A 19,767-nucleotide genomic window follows, 5' to 3' on the forward strand; every position below is an offset into this window, starting at 1 on the left:
TATTCCCTATTGGTAGGGTTAAGTGGATAAGTAACCAAGGCTACGTATTTTAAAAAACAAATCTGTTCTACTAAAGAAATTCATGGCAAAAAAAAATTAATTGACGGAAAATTTTACCAAAGGCCAACTCATTCTAATGAGCTCTGGTTTGGAGTGCAAGGATGTCAATACTATGCCAGATTGTAAAATAAAAAACTGCAAAAACAAGTTACTGGATGATGAGCTAACTGTGCTAGGTGGGAACCATTTACTGTCTTCTTTGGATGTCTTAATGATTGACCATGTCCAGTGACACTGGAAAAACATCCATGGGAGAACAGCATTTGGAAATGCTGGAGACTTGGCCAACAAGAAGTCTTTGCAAGCCAAACTGGCACTGGCTGCATACCACACCCTGCAGGTATTTGGACTCAGAAGAAAAATAACTCAAAGTCAGAACACTTAACTTCCTCTCTAGATCACTGATCTAAAAACCTTTGGATCTCATGGTTCAAGGGTCACTGAGGTCCCTAAATCTCATGAGATCAGTGGCCACCTTGGACATCTTTGCAAGACCCTTACTTGTTATGCTGTCTCTCCCAAGTCCAAGGCAGGAATCAAAATTCATTAGTTATCTATGACTCCCTTGACACTTTTACAAAATGCTGTGCCTATGTCAACTTTTCTGGGGAAAGAGTCTATGATTTTCAGACCTAGCAAAGTTTAATAATCATGGCTGTAGAGGAAAAAAGCTCTACACTTCTATCATCGTTCACTCAGGTACAGTAGCTTACTATGTTAGTTGTTCAACCTTCAGAAATAACACCCCCCAAAAAAGCTTTTTGCTTCTTTGTTTCTCCTAAAAAATTATCTACCACTAATATTGACTAAAAATCTAACCAACCAGGTGTATTACCTATAGTTTTCAAATGTAACTGGACTTTTTTAAAATGGTAACTCAATTAGTGATTAAAAATAAATTGGCAGGGCACAGTGGTTCATACCTGTAATCCTACTGCTTTAAGAAGCCAAGGTGAGAGGATTGCTTAAAGCCAGGAGTTTGAGACCAGACTTGGCAACAAAGTGAGAGTCCATCTCAAGAAAAAAATTTAAAAAATTAGTCAGGTATGGTGGCAACTACTCTGGAGTCCCAGCTACTAGAGAGGCTGAGGCAGGAGGATCACTTGAGCCCAGGAGTTTGAGGCTCCAGTGAGCCATGATTGCACCACTGTACCCCAGACTGGGTGATAGACACCCTGTCTCAAAAAAAAATTAAGATGACAACTTCAGGAGGCTTTTCAAGGTCATCGTTCCTCAGTAAAGAATATCTAAATAAAGATAGATAACAATTTTTTCTTTCAAATAGAAGAGATTATAAACTACAATATTTAGGGAGTGTATAATACCTCATGATGATGACATACCTTATGATGATGACACACCTTATGATGATGATTCCAATTAAGTAACTAACTGAGCTTCTACAATATGATAGCTTCCTAATCACAGTAAGATAAGGTGACTACTATTCAGGAAATAAAATTCAGTAGGTTACAATGATAATTCATTAATTGTAGTTGAAACTTACATCTTAAACTACTGGGAAGGCATTATAAATTATGAACTGCATTACTGTGCCTCAATGATAGGTAGTTAAGGGGTCAAACCTCTACTCAACTATTTCCCAAGTGATGATAATCAGATTACTAAATACCACTAGATCTCAGCTTTCTAACCAATATACTGGGCTAAAAATAGTTATCTTGTAAGGTTATGAAAAGTAAAGGAGACAATCCATGCAAAGTGTTTCTGCATGGTGTCTGTGTACTCATAACTATTGTTCTAAAAAACCAAGGAGCAGGCTGCACATGGTGGCTTACACCTGTAATCCCAGAATTTTGAGAGGCAGAGGTGGGAGGATCTCTTGGGGCCAGGAGTTTGAGACCAGCCTGGGCAACATAATGGGACCCACATCTCTACAAAAGATAAAAATAAAAATTCAATGAGCAGAAGACATATTATCCAAGTAGTTTATTCTATAAAGGAAGAACAATGTTTTCCTAACAATAAGACTCATATGCTTGATAATATAGCAATCTATCTAGAGTTTTAATAAATATTATTTCTAATAGTCCTTTTTTTAAAATACAAAATGTCCTAAATTTAGCTTTAAATAGAGAAAGAATTTTCTGCTGACCACAGGAGCAGAAATTAAAATGCTAAATATTGCAACCTAATAAAATAAAATTTGAAAACTATCTTTCAAACTATTATTTTTCGAAGGTCAAACAAAATTATGTGAAATCTTCACTATTAATGATATACCTAGGTCATCTGAAGAAAAGCTTAGAATTCATCCAGAAATGGGGACATTCAGAGACTCCAATTCTTCACTTTAATGCAGTGGTAATTCTACTTGAGAACAATAATATTTGAAGAAGAAAAATAATCAGAATTAATCAAAACTGTCTATTCAAAGTGTGAAAATGTGTTATCTGAGGATATTTTTATAATCTCTCATTACGATAATCTCCATGAATCATGTATAAATATAGCCAACTTGAAATAAGTGCCTATCACAAGACCAGGAAGACAATAGATTCCTTTGTTCTAATGCTATCTTACTAATTTGTAGACTGACCTTGAAAAGACAGAGTAATTTCACCTTTACGAGATGGAGATGGGACCTTAAGAAACATTTTGAGGAAGACAAGTCATTACCCAATAGAAAGTTAAAGACAAAACATTTTTTCTTTTTAGCAACAAAATCATATTGAGTTAAATTGCCTCAAATGAAGAAACAAAGTCGTCACAAACAAAGAGAAGAGTAGGGAGAATACACAGAGAAAACTAGTTTGAACTTTTTCAATATCTGGATTTCCTTCCTATATGAACAATTACAACTACTAAAATCTGCAACCTAACTATCCCATAGATACAAGTTATAAAAGCTTGATTCATCCTCTTCCCAGATACTTGACCCTTTCTTTAGGTAAGTCTGAGTTTGCCATTTAAAACAAATGTTGCAACATTTTTTTAGAAACAAAGCAAAATGTTCTGTAAATAGATGAACTATTATGCTTAGTAAACAGGCCAGAAGCATTTCGAATAAAAACCACGGGGACCGTGGGGGCAGTACAAAGTGTTCAAGAAGAAATTAAAAAAAAAATTTGACATTAAAGTCATAAATCATGGGCTTCTGTGACATGAGAATCACTTCAAGCAAAAAAACTTCAAGTGTGTGGGCACAGTGCAGGTTGCCACCTAATGCAAAGATGAAACTGGTAGGGGCTGCAAAGGAATGATTTCCATTGAAGGAATAACTGTGAGCACAGGCAAAAATGGACTGTCAGGCCACTTTCTTTCCCTCACATAAAATGTAGCAAGGTTATGTCTGCAAAGCAAATTCCTCTCATCCTATATAACCTCCTTCAGTCGAGTTATTATTGAATTATTCCAAGAGGTGCAACCTGAAAAAAACATCATTATGGAATAAAATAATTTCAAAGCTGAAAAAGGCCTCCAAGTTTCTCTAATTTAGTAGTTCTTATCTTCTTTGGGGTCTTAGATTTCTCTGAGAAATGATAAAAGCTACACACTCTCCTCAGAAATGAACATAAGGCATATGAAGGCAGCACAATTCTGAGCTTCATGTGTAAGCATTTGAAGTTTGTCAGCCCTAGATTAATAACTATTGATCATGTCCATGTTCCTCATTTGAAAAATTAGGAAATTGAATGCCAGAAAGATTCAGTGATTTGTCCAAGGCCACACAGCCAGGTAATAGTGGAGCTGGTATTAAAAAAACCTAGTATTCCCGACTTCCTTCAAGATGCTCTGCCCCACCATGTATAGAGAAAGGCTGTGATTATCTACATCCATAAATCTCAACAGTCACTCATGTTGCTGTTTGAATAAATGAAATTAGTAAGTTAGGATAGGAACACTCCACTTCTTTTCAAACATTAAAATACACACACACACATGCACACACACACACACACTCTATAAACATTATGGCCTAAGCAGTCCTGATACTTCTACATAAATAACTTTTATGTAGATGCTAGTTGGAAACATTAGGGTTCTCACACCCCATCTCCACAAGTTGAGATTCGGTATAGTGATGCCCTTAGAGCTGTACCTTAAATAAGTCCCTGAGAGACTGTGATCTGCTGGTTCTAAAGTAGTGACCTACTTTAAACATATTTTGGAGATTTGTATTAATCTGGCATCCTTATAAGTCTATACAACACAGATGATAACTAGTCATAATAGGAATTGAGATTAAATAAGAGTCAAGACATTTTGGTTTCTAAACAATGACAGAAGAGACCATCTAGAGCAATTGCTCTTAAGCCTCCTTTCAGAATTTTGTTAAAAATATAGATGTTTGGATCCCTTTTTCAGACTTACCAAAGTAGTTTCTTGGTGTAGTCCCAGGCACCTGTAATTTTTATTATTATTATTATACTTTAAGTTCTAGGGTACATGTGCACAACGTGCAGGTTTGTTACATAGGTATACATGTATCATGTTGCTTTGCTGCACCCATCAGCTCGTCATTTACATTAGGTATTTCTCCAAACGCTATCCCTCTTCCAGGCCCCCACCCCCCAACAGGCCCCAGTGTGTAATGTTCCCCTCCCTGTGTCCTTGTGTTCTCATTGTTCAACTCCCACTTATGAGTGAGAACATGCGGTGTTTGGTTTTCTGTTCTTGTGATATTTTGCTGAGAATAATTGTTTCCAGCTTCATCCATGTCCCTTCAAAGGACATGAACTCATCTTTTTTTATGGCTGCATAGTATTCCATGGTGTATATTTGTGAAATTTTCTTTATCCAGTCTTCTATTATTGATGGACATTTGGGTTGGTTCCAAGTCTTTGCTATTGTGAATAGAGGTACCCATAATTTTCATCAGCATGACAGGTGATTGTGATGCTCACTAAAGTAAAGCACATCATTTCCTCTTCTTCACTCACCCAGCAAACATTTAATGAACATCATCTACTTTGCTTTCCCCGCCCTTCTCATATCACCATTAAAATTCCCAGATGAAAAATTTAGCCAACAACTGACTTAGACCATTGGGTATTAAGATAACATACATTAAAAAGTAGTTTTGCACCATTACATCTTCAAGGGTCTATCTTGCTTTGTAGACTTATTTTTTTCCTTCATCTTGTCTCTAAAAACTTTATCTTCCTTATAGAAAGCTAAGATCATGTGCATGTTTGCTAGACTAGGTCATCTCGCACAAGTTTACTATAACATTTTCTGTATGATCCTGCTTGGTCTTGTCAATAGCTTCTAGAATCTGAGAACAATTTATTGATAAATGAATTTAGGCATGGGCGTAAGTAGTCAGATGGGAGCTAAGATAGTGACTGATCTCATGGTGCTTACTACCATCCTACTTCCAGTAATGCCACCTGACACTCATTTCAGCTCTGAACTGAGGCACTTAGTATGGTTCCTCTTCCCTAAGTTCACATAATCATAAAATAGTAACAGTGTCTAACACTGTTTACTATGTGCTGTGTGTCAAATATTTACTATGTGCTAGGCACTGTGCTCACTATGGGCTTAGGCTGCATTATTACAATTTATCCTCAGATCCCGCTGACATATTATCTCTATTTAACAGATGAAGAAACTGAGGCTAGAAGGGGTCAAGTGCCTTGACTAAGGTCACACAGCCATCACATGTTAAGTCTAGACTAGAATCCAGGTCATTCACAAAAGTTAGATTTTAAACACATACTGTCCTTTTAGTATTGTTTCTTGGGTCACAAACTAACAAGCAACTCAAGGAAAAAAAACATGATCTATTTTTAAACAGTATGTTTTTAAAAAAAAAAAAGTACTCCCCCCTCACCCCCATCCCTATACACAATAGCTAACTGGGTATATAGCAGACAACTCTTGCATGGCTTTGCTCACAGTTCCCTCAAGTAAGACATACTGATACATCTGCTGCTGCTGCATGGAAGAATGCTTTTAAACCTGAACTCTCTGGGTCCTAAGGAATTTGTATAAATTGTGTCTGTGTGTTTCTAATTCTATATTGAGGCTAAGCTAGCAAGACTTCAACAGTGGCCTTAAACTTCTGTTTTGAAGTTCTATTATAAACCCAAAATAAGACATATACACCAGAAAATATATATCAAGAGGAGGGAAGATAAATAGAGCCCCTTCTACTCCTTATCCCAGTACCTCAAAAAATAAACTTTTCATCCTTTTCTCCATATCACAACCCTCATTTCTTACCTATTCTCGCATCACCTCCGTTCTCTAGTCAGTATTTAAATAACTAGGAATTTAAAAATTGCTTCTCAAGCTTTGTTCATCCCGAAATCATACATGGTTCAAAAAAGCATGTAAGATCTCCCCTAGATCGTGACGGTTGGGAAGGATGCATTCCAGATGTGTTATGCCCACTCTGTGGCTTGATCTTGAGAGAAAGCATCTGGAGAAGCATAGCATGGAGCTGGCAGTGACTTGGGGAAGCAATGCAAATGCTTTCGCTGAGGGAAGAGTTCAATGTGACAAACCAGGGAGATGAGTCCCTTCAACATGTGGGCAATGAATCACCTCTCTATGTTCCCTGAAGGAGCAAACACCCACTGACATGTGACAGGGTCTTCCTGCTGATTGAATTGGGAGAATAGCCATTTCAGATTTCCTTTCGTTAGACTTTTTAAAGAAGAGTAGGAAGACATGTGAAGGGGAATAGAACATGCTGGGAAACCCACTGGAGAGATTATGGGGAACAAGCTGGGGCAAGCCCATCAGCACACAGCGAACTCTCCAAGGTCCTTCACTGCCTATGAAGGATGGGGAGAAGACCAGCAAAGAAGCAGTCACAGCAGTGGTGTGCAACTAGCCAGTTTTACCAACAAATTATCCATGACCCTAAATATCTCACTACCTGCTTTCTATAAACCCTTTATTGTAACCCAGTGATTACTTTCCCCACTTTAGGAAAACATTACTTTGGGGCAAGAAAAATCTAAATCTTTTATCAACAAGCACAGGAAAAAGAGCCACAGCTCTTTTTTACACAGCACGGTAAAGCATTCCTTACTTACCAATTTAGTGACGTCTTTTACATTATTAGTCACACGATTCCTGCAGATCCCTTCAGTTTTGACGAGAGGATTAAATAGGAGCAGCTGAAGATAAATGCAAGTGAGAATCCAAGTCTAAATGAAAACAGAAAAATTGCTTGGTGATCATCAGTTAAGATCTGTAATCATTCAAACTTTTAACATCTAATGCCTTGATGCACAAAAAGACCAGTCTAATATATGTTATTGGCTTAAATGCAATTAAATATTACGCATTCAAGCTATGCTCACCAAAGTTTTTAAAAGCTTTTAGTTAAAATCCATTTTGAATTATTCTCTCAATGACAATATTGTTAACTTTTGTTAAAAACTTTCTTCAGCCAATTTCCCAATGGCAATTAGGAATAAACTTGTAGCAGCATGTTAAAGACTTAGCCCTTAGGGTATCTTCTAAAAACTAGAGAATGCATAAAATGTATACCTTATGGCACCAAAAGAAACATCTTATTTCTACTTTAAATGTAGACTGCTTGGCAAGAAGCAGCATAATCCCTGAGCAGTGCTTTAATCCAATAATCTACAATAGCACACCAAGTTAAAGTGAGAGAGATGTATATTTTTAGACCTAAGAGAATTCCACTGAATTTGTGAGACATCAAAAGAATATTTTGAAACACAGCTTTTTAGCCACTTAAGGAAAATATTTCCTTAGCCAACAGGAAGGCATTCTTGAACCCTAGCAGAAAGTAATCTGTCTTCTCTCTCTCTCTCTCGAACACACATAACCTACACATCGGCTTGAAAATAACATTTTCTATTATGTATTATAGTTGCTTTTATGCATGACTTATTTTTCCTTATTACACTGTAGAGTTTCAAGAACTTGTGCAACTGATTTATCTTTGTAGTATCTTCACAACACATAACACAGTGTCTTGCATATAAAAAGTCCTGAATAAATATTTGCTGGGTCAATCAGTGGTCAAGGTAAAAATATATCCTGATGCTCAAATTCAATAACCATTTATTGAATATATATTATGCAACAGGAACAACGCCAGTCACTAGGGTAACAAAGATGTTGAAGATGCCCTTGAAACTCAGAGGCAGGTAAATAAATAACACTCACATCTTGTGATAAACACTTTCGGAACACAGAAGAGGAAGCAATTAATCAATTAACCTTAAGGGGGAGAACCAGTTGCAGGAAGACAGTGCCAAGAAAAGCCAGAAAGAAAATGTGACTGTGGCTGGATTTAGGAGGACAAGGAGGACTTGCAAGGGCTGACAAAGAAAAGATGAACGTTCCAGGAAAAATAAACAGCATGACAAAACCATGCAGATGTGAAGACATCTTAAAATATGTGCACATTCTTTTATGAGATACCATTCTTCTGTAAAATCTTAAAATTACACAAGAGTCCAGATGCACATGGCTAGAAATCTTCTCTATTTACATAGCTAGCCATATTAAAAAGGAACTGGATTATTATTTTCAATTAATATCTGCATGCTAACTAGATATTATACTAGAACAAATAATGATTATTATTTGCTAAAATTTCTAAAACTACAATGCTAATTACATGGATATAGTGGTTTGTATTCAAGATTGAAATCCTTTTATTCCCTTACCACCATGGTCTATTTTAGCAGTAATCCTGCATAATTTTATTTAAGGCTACTTCTAGCATTGTGGGGTCACACTCTTCATAGTATCATCTTTCTTGGACCACAGTGAAGACTAAGTTGTATAAATTATTTCTGTTTGAGGATTCTTCTTTTTGGACAGACAACCCCTACATACAAACTGTCCCTTAATAACAGTCTTCCTTCACATGTGTAAATATAATTTATTAAAGTCAGCTTTCTTTTATATTGTCATTGCTAAGACGTAACCTCCCTGGAAATATATTTCTCTAAACCCCTCTTTCTGATGTGATTTGGGAACTTTCTCTAAGGATCTCTGTAATGGACCAATCTCAGAAATGACCATAATCATATCCTTTGCTCAAAGAAATGTAATGGCAGAAATTCTGTTACTGGTCTTCGCAATCCTTTACGCCTGGCATTGAATAAATACTAAAGAAACGTTTGTTTTCTCATTCATCTAACAAGTATTTATTGAGTATCTGGTGTATACCAGGCATTGTCCTAGGTGCTAGGCCTATATAATGAACAAAATTCCTGCCCTCATAAGGCTTAATCAACAAACATAAGTAACTAGGTTATACAGTATGTCAAAAGGTGTCAAAAGCTATGGGAAAAATAAGATTAGAGCAAGGTAAAGGGGATTGGGATCATAATGTCTACTCTGCCTTACTGGTGATCTTGGGTTCAGAGTGACAATCACAGTCATGAGTCACCATGTGTACTGCTTTGCCCAGCACCAAGGCTTTGCCCAGCACCAAGTGTACTGCTGAGTTTTAAGAAAGGTTAGGTTGGCCGGGCGTGGTGGCTCATGCCTGTAATCCCAGCACTTTAGGAGGCCGAGGTGGGCGGATCACGAGGTCAGGAGATCGAGACCAGCCTGGCCAACATGGTGAATCCCCATCTCTACTAAAAATACAAAAATTAGCTGGGTGTGGCAGTGCATGCCTGTAATCCCAGGTACTCGGGAGGCTGAGGCAGGAGAATCGTTTGAACCCGTGAGGCGGAGGTTGCAGTGAGCCAAGATTGCGCCACTGCACTCTAGCCTGGCGACAAAAGCTAGACTACATCACCAAAAAAAAAAAAAGTTAGATAACAAAAGAGTACATACAGCACAAGCAGAGCAGACTCCCAGGCCATCTCTAATATCAGAAAGTCACTGAACACTCAAGATACGTGTGGCAATGATAGGTGATGTTGGGTAGGTAGAATCATTCCTTCTGCTTATACCTTGCTAGCTGAGCAGCTTTTTAGGGATATGGCATGAACTTCTATTCATTTTCTAGAGCAGCTACCCCCACCAGTACCAGTCTCAACAATAAAATATTAATACATATCAGTGCATGACATATGCTTGTAATAAAGCACACATCAGTGCCTGCTACCTAGTAACTTCAGCTGAATTCCCTTGGAGGAAGTATAGATGTACACCTAAAAGTTTCTTGAGTCCTTGTTGAAAGAAGACTTATAGGGAGGGTCAAATCACCAGGCATCTCTGAGTCTCGAGAAGAGCCATAGAACTAACTGTACTCTTTTCTTTCCAGAGATTGCAGTATGGGTGGAAACAGCTTGAAATTTTTAACAGGGTAATATTGATAAGTGTCTCATTAAGAAGACAAAATTTCACCAAAGATTGGACAAAGCTAAGGCAGTGATCCACGCAGACATCTGTGGGAAGAGTACTGCATACAGAGAGAAAAGCTGGTGCCAAGGTCCTAAGGTCTATTTAAGGCATCTGTTATTTAAGACATAGCAAGAGTAAATTAGGGAGCAGTAGAAGATGATGATGTCAGAGAGACAATGGAGAGGACAGCTCATGTAGGGCGTTGAAGCCTATTGCCCAGACATTGACTCTTACTTGAATAAAATAGGATTCATTGCAAGATTTTGAGCAGAGGAGGGATATATACTTCAGAATAAAAATAAATTAATTAAATAAGATCAGTCTGATTGCTATAATAAAAATAGACTTTAGGGTGACAACAGGTAGAAAATGAAACCGACAAGTTGGGAGGTTGCTGCTGTAATCCAATCAAGAAAGGGTTATAGTAATACATTGACTGAAAGTGGTTAGATTCTGGACATCTTCTGAAGGCTGAACCATGAGAATTTCCTGACAGAGTACGATTTGAGAGAAAGAGTCAAAGATGACTATAAGAACTTTGGTATGGAAAGATGGTGTTGCCATCAACTGATATGGGGAAGACTGGGGGTAGAGAAGGTTTGGGAGGCAGATCAGGAGTTAAATTTTGAGTATGTTAAGTTTAAGATGTCTTTGAGATATTCTAGTGATAATGCCAGGTCAAGATATTTAAATCTGGACTTAGGAGGGAAACTTGGGGTGCAGATATAAATATGATAACCTTCCATATATAAGCAAATGAGTGGATGAGATCACCAAGGGAGTGAGTAAAAGTATAAAAAAGAACAAAGAACTGCGCATGCTATGGTGTTCTAACCTTAAGGGATCTGACAGAAGAGTGAGAACCCACAAAAGAGTCCAAGAGAGCAAAGCAAAAAGATCATGGAAGGAAGCCAAGACTTTAAAAAAGTACTTTAAGGAAAATAGGGTCAAACTATGTCAAATGCCAGTTATAGGCCGAGTAAGATAAGGACTGATAACTGACCACTGGTTTGGCAACATTAAGGTCACTGGTAATATTAACAAGAGCAGTTTTATTGAAGTGGTATGGGAAAAAGCCAGTCTACAGTGGGTTTTAGAAAGCAGGAGATGAGATTAACCAGAAACAGTGAGTATGAACAGCTGTTTTGAAGAGTTTTCCTTCAAAGGAGAGCAACTGGATAAACAAACACATAAATAAATAAAACCAAGATGGGGAAGTAGCTGGCAAGAAATTGGGGGTGAAGAGAGTTTTATTTGTAAGAAGGTTGAAATACCAGAATGAGTGTATGCCTATGGGAATGATCCAGTAGGAGGAAGCAATTGGCAATATAGGTCAGAAGAGAGGGGACTGCTTGGGCAACAGCCTTGAGCAGGAAAGAAGGGGTGAGATTCAGTTCTCAAGTAGGAAGTGTGGCTTTAAATAGGAGTATAGGTAGTTCAATGCTATCAGGCAGAGCGCTGGAATGTGAATGCAGATGCTGGTTGTGTTTTGGGAACAATTCCATGAATAGAGCTAAAAGTTACTGAACATTTACTATACACCAAGCATCTTGGATATCTAATAAGGAAAAAAATAACTTTCATATATCCTAATTTTAAAGATGAAGGAGTTGAGGTACAGGGAGGTTTGGTGACTTCTGAGTGGTGAAATCAGTAAGCCCAGGTCTGTCCAATTCTAACTCCTGTCCTTTTAGCCCCTCTACACTGTCCCAGAACTCCTGCAAATCTGTTAGATGGTTTGTGAGAACTGTGATGCGATAGCAGATCTCTAAAACTTTAATACTTTTGCAAATATCAAGCATATGGAGACAAGTCTGTTCCATATTCCATGCCACAGCTGAATAGTCTATATTATTCAAGTCATCATAATTTTTAATATATGTCCTTTGATAGTTCCTTAAAATATATCAACACAGACTGCTATAATAATTGAAGAATGATTTGATCAGGGCAACATAAATTTTTTTTGCATCAGTTAAATTCAAATATCTTACAAAGACACAGTTTTGTTCATTTTGTAAAAATCCACTGGGTCAATGCTAAAATTAAATCTATGTTAGCTTATGAACATTCAAATATCTCTGAAAAACCTATATTTCTTAAAGCCCTTTATTTTAAAGCCATTATAAATAAATTCATATTGTAATTTAATTTTGCATATACTTTGCTACCATTAAAAATATCCACCTTTCATAAAATTAAAGAATTCATTCTGGCATAGCTAAACATTAGGACAGGGAGATAATCAAGTTAGAAATATTGAGATTTTTGCCAAGCAGTAATGACACCTCCTTCATCAGTATACTCAGGAGAGAGCTGAAATGCAGAGCTTACTTCTTTATATAAAAAAGAAACTTTTCAGTATTAACTTTTCTACACAGAAGTCTTTCTAATATTGTACACACACTTTGATTTCTTAAACAGTGAATTGAAATATTAAACTTTGCTTTTCTGTGACGGTTCAGGTTCATCAAATAAAAGGAAGACTTTCAAAGTATCTCAGTTATGTAGTTGTAGCTTCCCTTCTCCAAGTGGTTCCAAATTACTGTACTTGTTTGTATAACTTTTAAAAATTTATTTTAGGTTTCATTTGTTTGTTCCTTAGTTTTCCTGTTTCCCCCAGATTGTCAGGTCATTACTTGCAACATATTGTTACTGCTAACATGCCTATTTCTAGTCTCCTGCACTCTTGATGATGAACACAACATGTGTCCCATATGGGAGCTTACAGCAGGAAGTATAATGGCCCCAAAGATGTCCATGTCCTAATTCTTGGAACTTGTGAATACATCACCACACATGGCAAAATGGACTTTCCAGACATGATTACGTTAAGAACTAGAGATGAAGAGACTATCCTAGATTCCCTGGGTCCAATCTAATCCCCATGGTCCTTAAAAATGGAGACTATTTTCCAGCTCTGTTCAGAGAGAGGTGCGATGATGGAAGAAGGGTCGGGGAAATGTGACCTGAAAAGGACTCAACATGTCCTTGCTGGCATTGAAAATAGAGAGAAGGGACCAAGAGTCAAGAAATGTAGGCAGCTTCTAGAAGCTGCAAAAGAGAAAGAAATAGATTCTCCCCTAGAGCCTTTGGAAAGCAACATAGTCCAACTGATACTTTGATGTAAGTGAGCCTTATTTTGAACATTTGATCTTCAAAATTATGATAATTTTTTTTTTTTTTTTTTGACAGAGTCTCTCTCTGTTGCTCAGGCTGGGATGCAGTGGTGCAATCTCGGCTCACTGCAACCTCCGCCTCCCAGATTCAAGTGATTCTCCTGCCTCAGCCTCCCAAGTAGCTGGGATTATAGGTGCCTGCCACCATGGCTGGCCTTTTTCTTTTCTTTTTTTTTTTGTATTTTTGGTAGAGACAGAGTTTCACCATGTTGGCCAGGCTGGTCTTGAACTCCTGAGCTCAGGTAATCCACCCACTTCAGCCTCCCAAAATGCTGAGATTACAGGTATGAGCCACTGCACCCGGCCAGTCACTAAATTTTTGGTAATTTATTACAGCAGCAATAGAAAAATAAAACACAGCTCAATTGAAATACTTTTGGAATGAATGAATGAATGAAAGGTGTAGTGTAGTGATGGTCAAGCTATTCCAAATGAGGAAAGTGAATTGCCTCTGCCAGAATTATTGGCCCGCACCCTTTATTTTAAGCAGAGCAGCTCAGCTTTTTTTGTTGTTTTATTTGTTCATGCCTCTGAGTAAGATTCTGTTTAAACAAAGGTTTCCAAGGGCAAGAAGAAATTAAAAAAAAAAAACGCTTTTGGAAACCATGGGCAGAACATGGATCCAGAAAACCTCTCAGTCCCTTCCCATGTGACTTCAAACAAGTCAGCTAATCTCCCTGAGTATCCATTTATCAGCCTATAAAATGATAGTAAAAATAATTTTTGCCTTACCCATCTCATGAACTAGTAGTAAGAATCAAATGAGAAACTATTCAAACTATGGGTGTTATGCAATTATTTGTTGTGTGGTTTATGGGCTTTGCATCGGCTAGGAAACCAGAAGACAAGTACTTCAAAAATGTTTGAGTAAAACTTTCTGAGAAAAGACTTTATAGAGTAGATCTCCCATATACAAAGAGTATGACCTTTAGCACATGAATATTTTGACACTGACTTTGAGTTCACACACCTTTTTCATTTATTTCTTAGTTCTGAACTGTGTTTAGAGTAGCTTCAGTTAACAGACAACTGACTTCCAATTAAATGACATGTTCCAATATATCAACAAAATATTTATCTTTGTTTTCTCTTCCTCTTCTTCCAATTTCTGGAAACTCTGAGGGAATAGGGTGCCTAAATATGTGGGTGTGCACACACGCTCACACACACCCTAATGGAGATACACTGAAGCAAAATGTCCCTGTGTTTGTGACTTCTGCTCTAAAATGTATCTTTTCAGTTTGGGTAATCATCTATTTTTTTTTTCTGTTAACATTCTCTGCAGCTGTATATGACATTTTTCTTTGGCTACTTTGTTTTATCATTGTACAACTTTTCTCTCTAGGTCAAGCTCATTGTGTGATAACCCCTCATTTCTGGATAGTCTTTCATTGTATAGACACATATCGTCCTGGGTAGTTCTCGATTTTTGTTTTCAGAAACATGCATCAAAAGTGTCCCCCGTTTATTCCCCCACAACACACAAAATTCCAATAATCCTTTCATTGCTAAATGTTGCCTTCAAATCATTTACATGATTAGGAAAAAAAATAATGAGAAATCTGTGTGCACTGTTACAACCAAGGCATGCAGTAGAAACAGTTCTGGTAGAGGGAAGTAATACTGACTAAAATTTATGTTAACATCAGTGACAGATGTGGCTGGTCCTTTTCTGGGAGCAGACAGTAGCAGACAGTACTAGAAAAGTACTTTAAAGAAGTCTGGGGTGGGAGGGATTTACAAGAAGATGAGGTTGAAGACCTCAAAGGCAAAGGTCTTGCTTAATTTTCATTTTTGTTGAGAACAAACATCAGCAGACTCCAGTGGACTATTCACTCAATAACCAATCCCTCCTGAACACAGAGCTTTCCTTACAGTAAAAGGCCACATGCCAGGAAAAGGAGCTACAAACACCCAAAACAAACCATGGACTTAATCTGAACGTGTGTTGCAACACATAAGTCACACTGCAGATTCCTTTCCTTCAGTAGAAATTAAAATGCATGCAGCCTAAGAATATCAGGGGGACATATGCTGTTCAAGAAACCAGAAGATACCAATCCTCTAAACTTGGAAAAACAAAAAAATAAAATACAGAAAAAAAGCCTTTTTTTCTCTATGAATATGAGAAGTGATTTTAAAATATGCATTGTCAGGGTCCATATTACAGACGTCACAAAGTCAAAAAGAGAGTTAAGTGTTTGTGTAGCTCATTTTCTTTATGCACAGACCTACGAAATGGTATTAGAGCTGCCCTGAACAAAACAGCAGCTGCTGCCAAAAACAACATTCATCTTCTCTTTAATCCTGCATACCAGCTATTGAAGCAGGCAGTTCCCTTGTAGCCCAAATGTATTTTGGAAGAGAGCCAACTGGCTCAACTACCCAAAGACAGGAAAGCAAGTTACCAAGATACAGGTATGGTAATTGGTCCTGAGTTCAGGTCTTCTTAACTCATATGAACCATATCTTCCAAAAATAATCTATGTAAACCAACAACAGGATCCTCATTTGGTGAATAACCATTCAGTTCTATATGACTTCTTTTTTCAGATCTTTTTAATTGCTTAAAAATTTACCATTAAACATTATAAGGAAAATACCTAATCATCTTACACAGACTAAAATTCTTCTCTAAGCACTGTTAAGTAATCTTAAAGGGACAACTGAAACATTTAGTAGATTTGTTAGTTTTTGAAACTTAACTACTATCAATAAAACAGATGTTACCAGAGTAACTAATTGAAACTCAGACCAACTTGGAGTCCAAATTGGTGGGTGCCAAAATCTTGTAAAGATACTCTTCTAACTTCCCTTTTGTGAAGAAGTAAGCTAAAAATGTTTTAAAATATGGGTGATCATTAAAATATGTAATGAATATGCTCTTATAACAAAAAAAAACTAGAAAGAAGTTGCTTAATATGAAAAGGCAGACAATGTAATATAATAAGGGAATTTAATGTAACGGGAATTTAAAGATTTCAAGGTATTCAATGCATGAGAAAAATTTGGGGAAATTCACCCTTTAATAATCAGTCCTCGTTCTACATGTAAATACTACTTAAAGTGGAAATAACTCAAAATATATTGACTTCTAAGGGGCTGTGCATAGGACAAGCAGTTTGCAGATATTATTTCCTGTAATCCTCCCATCAACCAGGTAGATATTATTACCCTACTCTGCAGGTGAGCAAAACACAATTCGGGAGAGATTAGGTAACTTCCTTATGGCCACTTTGCTAGGAAATTGCTGGATTGGATATAAACCAAAACCTACACTATCTATGCTGGAAAGAAAAATACTAGGCCAGTTAGATAATAAAACTGACTTCATTTATATTTAATGAACTACTAAATTTTATTTTAAAGGGTCATGTTACAGAAGGCATATAGGTCTCTTTAACTCAATCAGTTTCAAATTGAAATTACATGTCAAGTTATTACCAGGTTGAATAAATGAGTCGAGCAGGTAAATCAAGTTACACTTAGCTATAGCTTAAACAAAAATTTACATAGCTAGAGGGAGGGGAGAAACCCAAAAAATAAAGCGATAAGTTGTTTCTTCTTATAAAAACAAAATTGGGTGCTTTCAGACTTCTAGTAACATTATCCCAGGGGCCACTTCTTCATTTAACAGACATGTATGGAGTATCTAATAAATACATAAGATAAAGACAGAAAGACTATGATCACTGGCCTCAGGAAGCTCAAGCTACTAGAGAACACAGCACAGTGGTGGGAGTCAGAGAGAAAAGGCCCAGCCCCTCCCTCAACTGCCCCCTGCCCCAAGTACAGCTAAACCTGACTTGGGGAGGGGGGCATTTGGGGGACAGGGGCATTTGAGGGAGGGGCTGATAGTTTCTGGGGGGAGAAGCTTCTCCAAAGGTGATCGGGGGCAGCCAACTCAAAGTTAGTGAGGGAGAAGACCCCTGAGAGAGGAAGTAGCAGGTGCCCACAGAAGTGTGGAAACAAGGCATGTTCTTAGAATTCTGTGATTTTTTTACTCCATTGGAAAATAAGTTTCAAAGAATAAGCAAAAAAAAAAAAAAAGGCAAGGCTAGAGAGATATGCAGAGGCCCTCCTTGCTAATTGATTTAGATTTCATTTTAAAAGCACTGGGGAGACCTGGAATGATTTTAAGCAAGGGAGTGTCAAGATCTGATTTATTGTTAAAAGGTTTATCAGGCATCAGAATGAAGGATGGACTGGGGGAGAGAGGGCAACAAACCTGGGGGCATGAGGCCCATTAGGAGGTCACTGAAGTAATCCAAAGCTGAGATGATAAGGGCCTTAACTAGGGCAGTGGCAGTGAGAATGGAGAGAAATGAACACGTTCAACAGGATATGGAAGTAGAACGGAAGATCTTGGTGACTAATGAAAAGAGGGTAGGGTCAAAAGGGGAAGAGGCACAAATGACTTCCAGGTTCCAGTTTGGGTGACTGTGTAAAAAGTGGTGCTATCTGCTGATCCAGATATGTAGGAAGAGAAGAGGCAGCAGGAGTCTGGGAGTTTATCACCAAAAACCTTAGTGAATACTACCATACCATAGATAGATACCATTCTATCATGAACTATCTGTGTAGGAGATGAGAGAATGTGAAGCCAAATACATGAGAGGGAAATCAGTTGATTGTGGGGTACAGCAGCCAATGGAAAAAAAATACCAAAGGGAGAGGGCAATGAATAAAACAAGCACTAAAAGATGTCAATATGATGTTTACTAAAGAGTACTTAATGGAGCTGACCTTAATGAGGGCAGTTGCCATTGAGTTGATGGAACTAAAAGTCAATCACAGTGGATGGACTACAGGAGTGAATGAGTATGAGGGAATTTCAAGGGTATATTACTACAGTTTGCCAAAAAAGAAAGAAGAGAGTGAGTGATCATGGAAAGGGCTAGAAAAGTTCACTTCGGTCTTGGTAGAAGGGAACACACAGCCCTGAAAGAGTGGGACTAAAATAATAAACTCAGCATTTCTCTTTTTTAAATGGCCTAGGAATAGGGAACAACTCACCTGGGGTTAACAGAGCCAGGTGAGCTCAGAAGTTTTGACCCTGTGTAAAAATCCCTGATAAAAGACTGGTACCTCAGGCAAGAATATAGGGCCTGAGTGTTCAGGTTTTTACTGTTACTAATTTTAATAAAGATGTACATAATAGAGTAAGCATTTGTGACAGCAGTATAGACTATCTAATTAGTAACAATGGTTTAAAAAGTAGATCATTAGCTATTCATAAAGCTCTTTAGCAGTTATACAAAGCAGAGGGGAAAAAAATCCCCTACACAGTATAATCCACTTAATTTTAAGGAGATGCGAGCTAATGACTAATTCTAATTTCTGTGAGGATAATGATGTGTAACAGACTGAGCTAGTCTAGAAAACTGATGGGTACTAGTTTAATTCTCAACTATCACGTCTGGAAAACTAAAAACGCCATTTCTCAGATGCCCTTTAAGTTAGCTAGGTTTATATATCTACCGCCAACTCTCTGCAATAAGTGTGTATTTTCAAAGAAATAAGACGAGCAGACCTCCCCCAACACCGGCCAAAGTATGGAAACATAATTTTAAAAATTCATGAAAGTTCTGAAATCTGCATCTTCAGCACTCCATGGACACGGGCACCGTTTACTCTTATGCCAACTAGCTGCTCTTAAAATTGAACTACCCTGATGTACAAGAATCTGAGGGTTGTACATCACCCTGATGTACAAGAATCTGAGGGCTGTAGCTCTCTAAAAACAGCTACAGAAACATAAATCATAATTTATACTCTTTCAAATACGTGACTTGCTTCTGAAAGTGAGATCTCATGTAAATCAAAAATTATGTAATTATTTAAAATCTCTAAAATATTTTGAACTCCAAACCATTTGGTGATGTGAAATGAGCATAGGCTTCAGTTGCCATCTGATCCCAAGTGCCCAATCTGAGACTGAATGCCTGAATTTCCTAGAACCTTTTTGTGTTTTTTTCCCACTATGGATGTAATTAATGTGCTCATATGTATTTTCACATCTGCTACTGAAAATCTGACAAGTTTAGTCTCACAAGACCTTTTAAATAAATAAATAAATAAATAAAAATCTGAGGAAGCAGCTCAGAAAATTTTCAACAAAGTTCCCCCCACCCCTCACGACCCGCCACCCACCAACCTGGATCTTTTACTACATGAGAATAAACTAAATCTTTATACTCTACTTTAACTGCTTCCAAATATCATCAAAATGAGTGGAGCTAGAGACATGAGCTCAAAGAAC

General features: G+C 37.5%; 1 protein-coding gene across 2 annotated transcripts in view; it reads right to left on the reverse strand.

The window, feature by feature from the left end:
- The window catches only part of KITLG (KIT ligand), an 87,679-nt gene that overhangs the window by 45,886 nt on the left and 22,026 nt on the right, over nucleotides 1-19,767 (reverse strand). For both annotated transcript variants that reach the window (NM_003994.6, NM_000899.5), the window contains exon 2: nucleotides 7,074-7,187. In NM_003994.6, coding sequence (NP_003985.2) covers nucleotides 7,074-7,187 — 114 coding nt within the window. The remainder of the gene's footprint in view (nucleotides 1-7,073; nucleotides 7,188-19,767) is intronic.

This window comes from Homo sapiens, chromosome 12 (genome assembly GCF_000001405.40).
Source record: "Homo sapiens chromosome 12, GRCh38.p14 Primary Assembly".
NCBI lineage: Eukaryota > Metazoa > Chordata > Mammalia > Primates > Hominidae > Homo > Homo sapiens.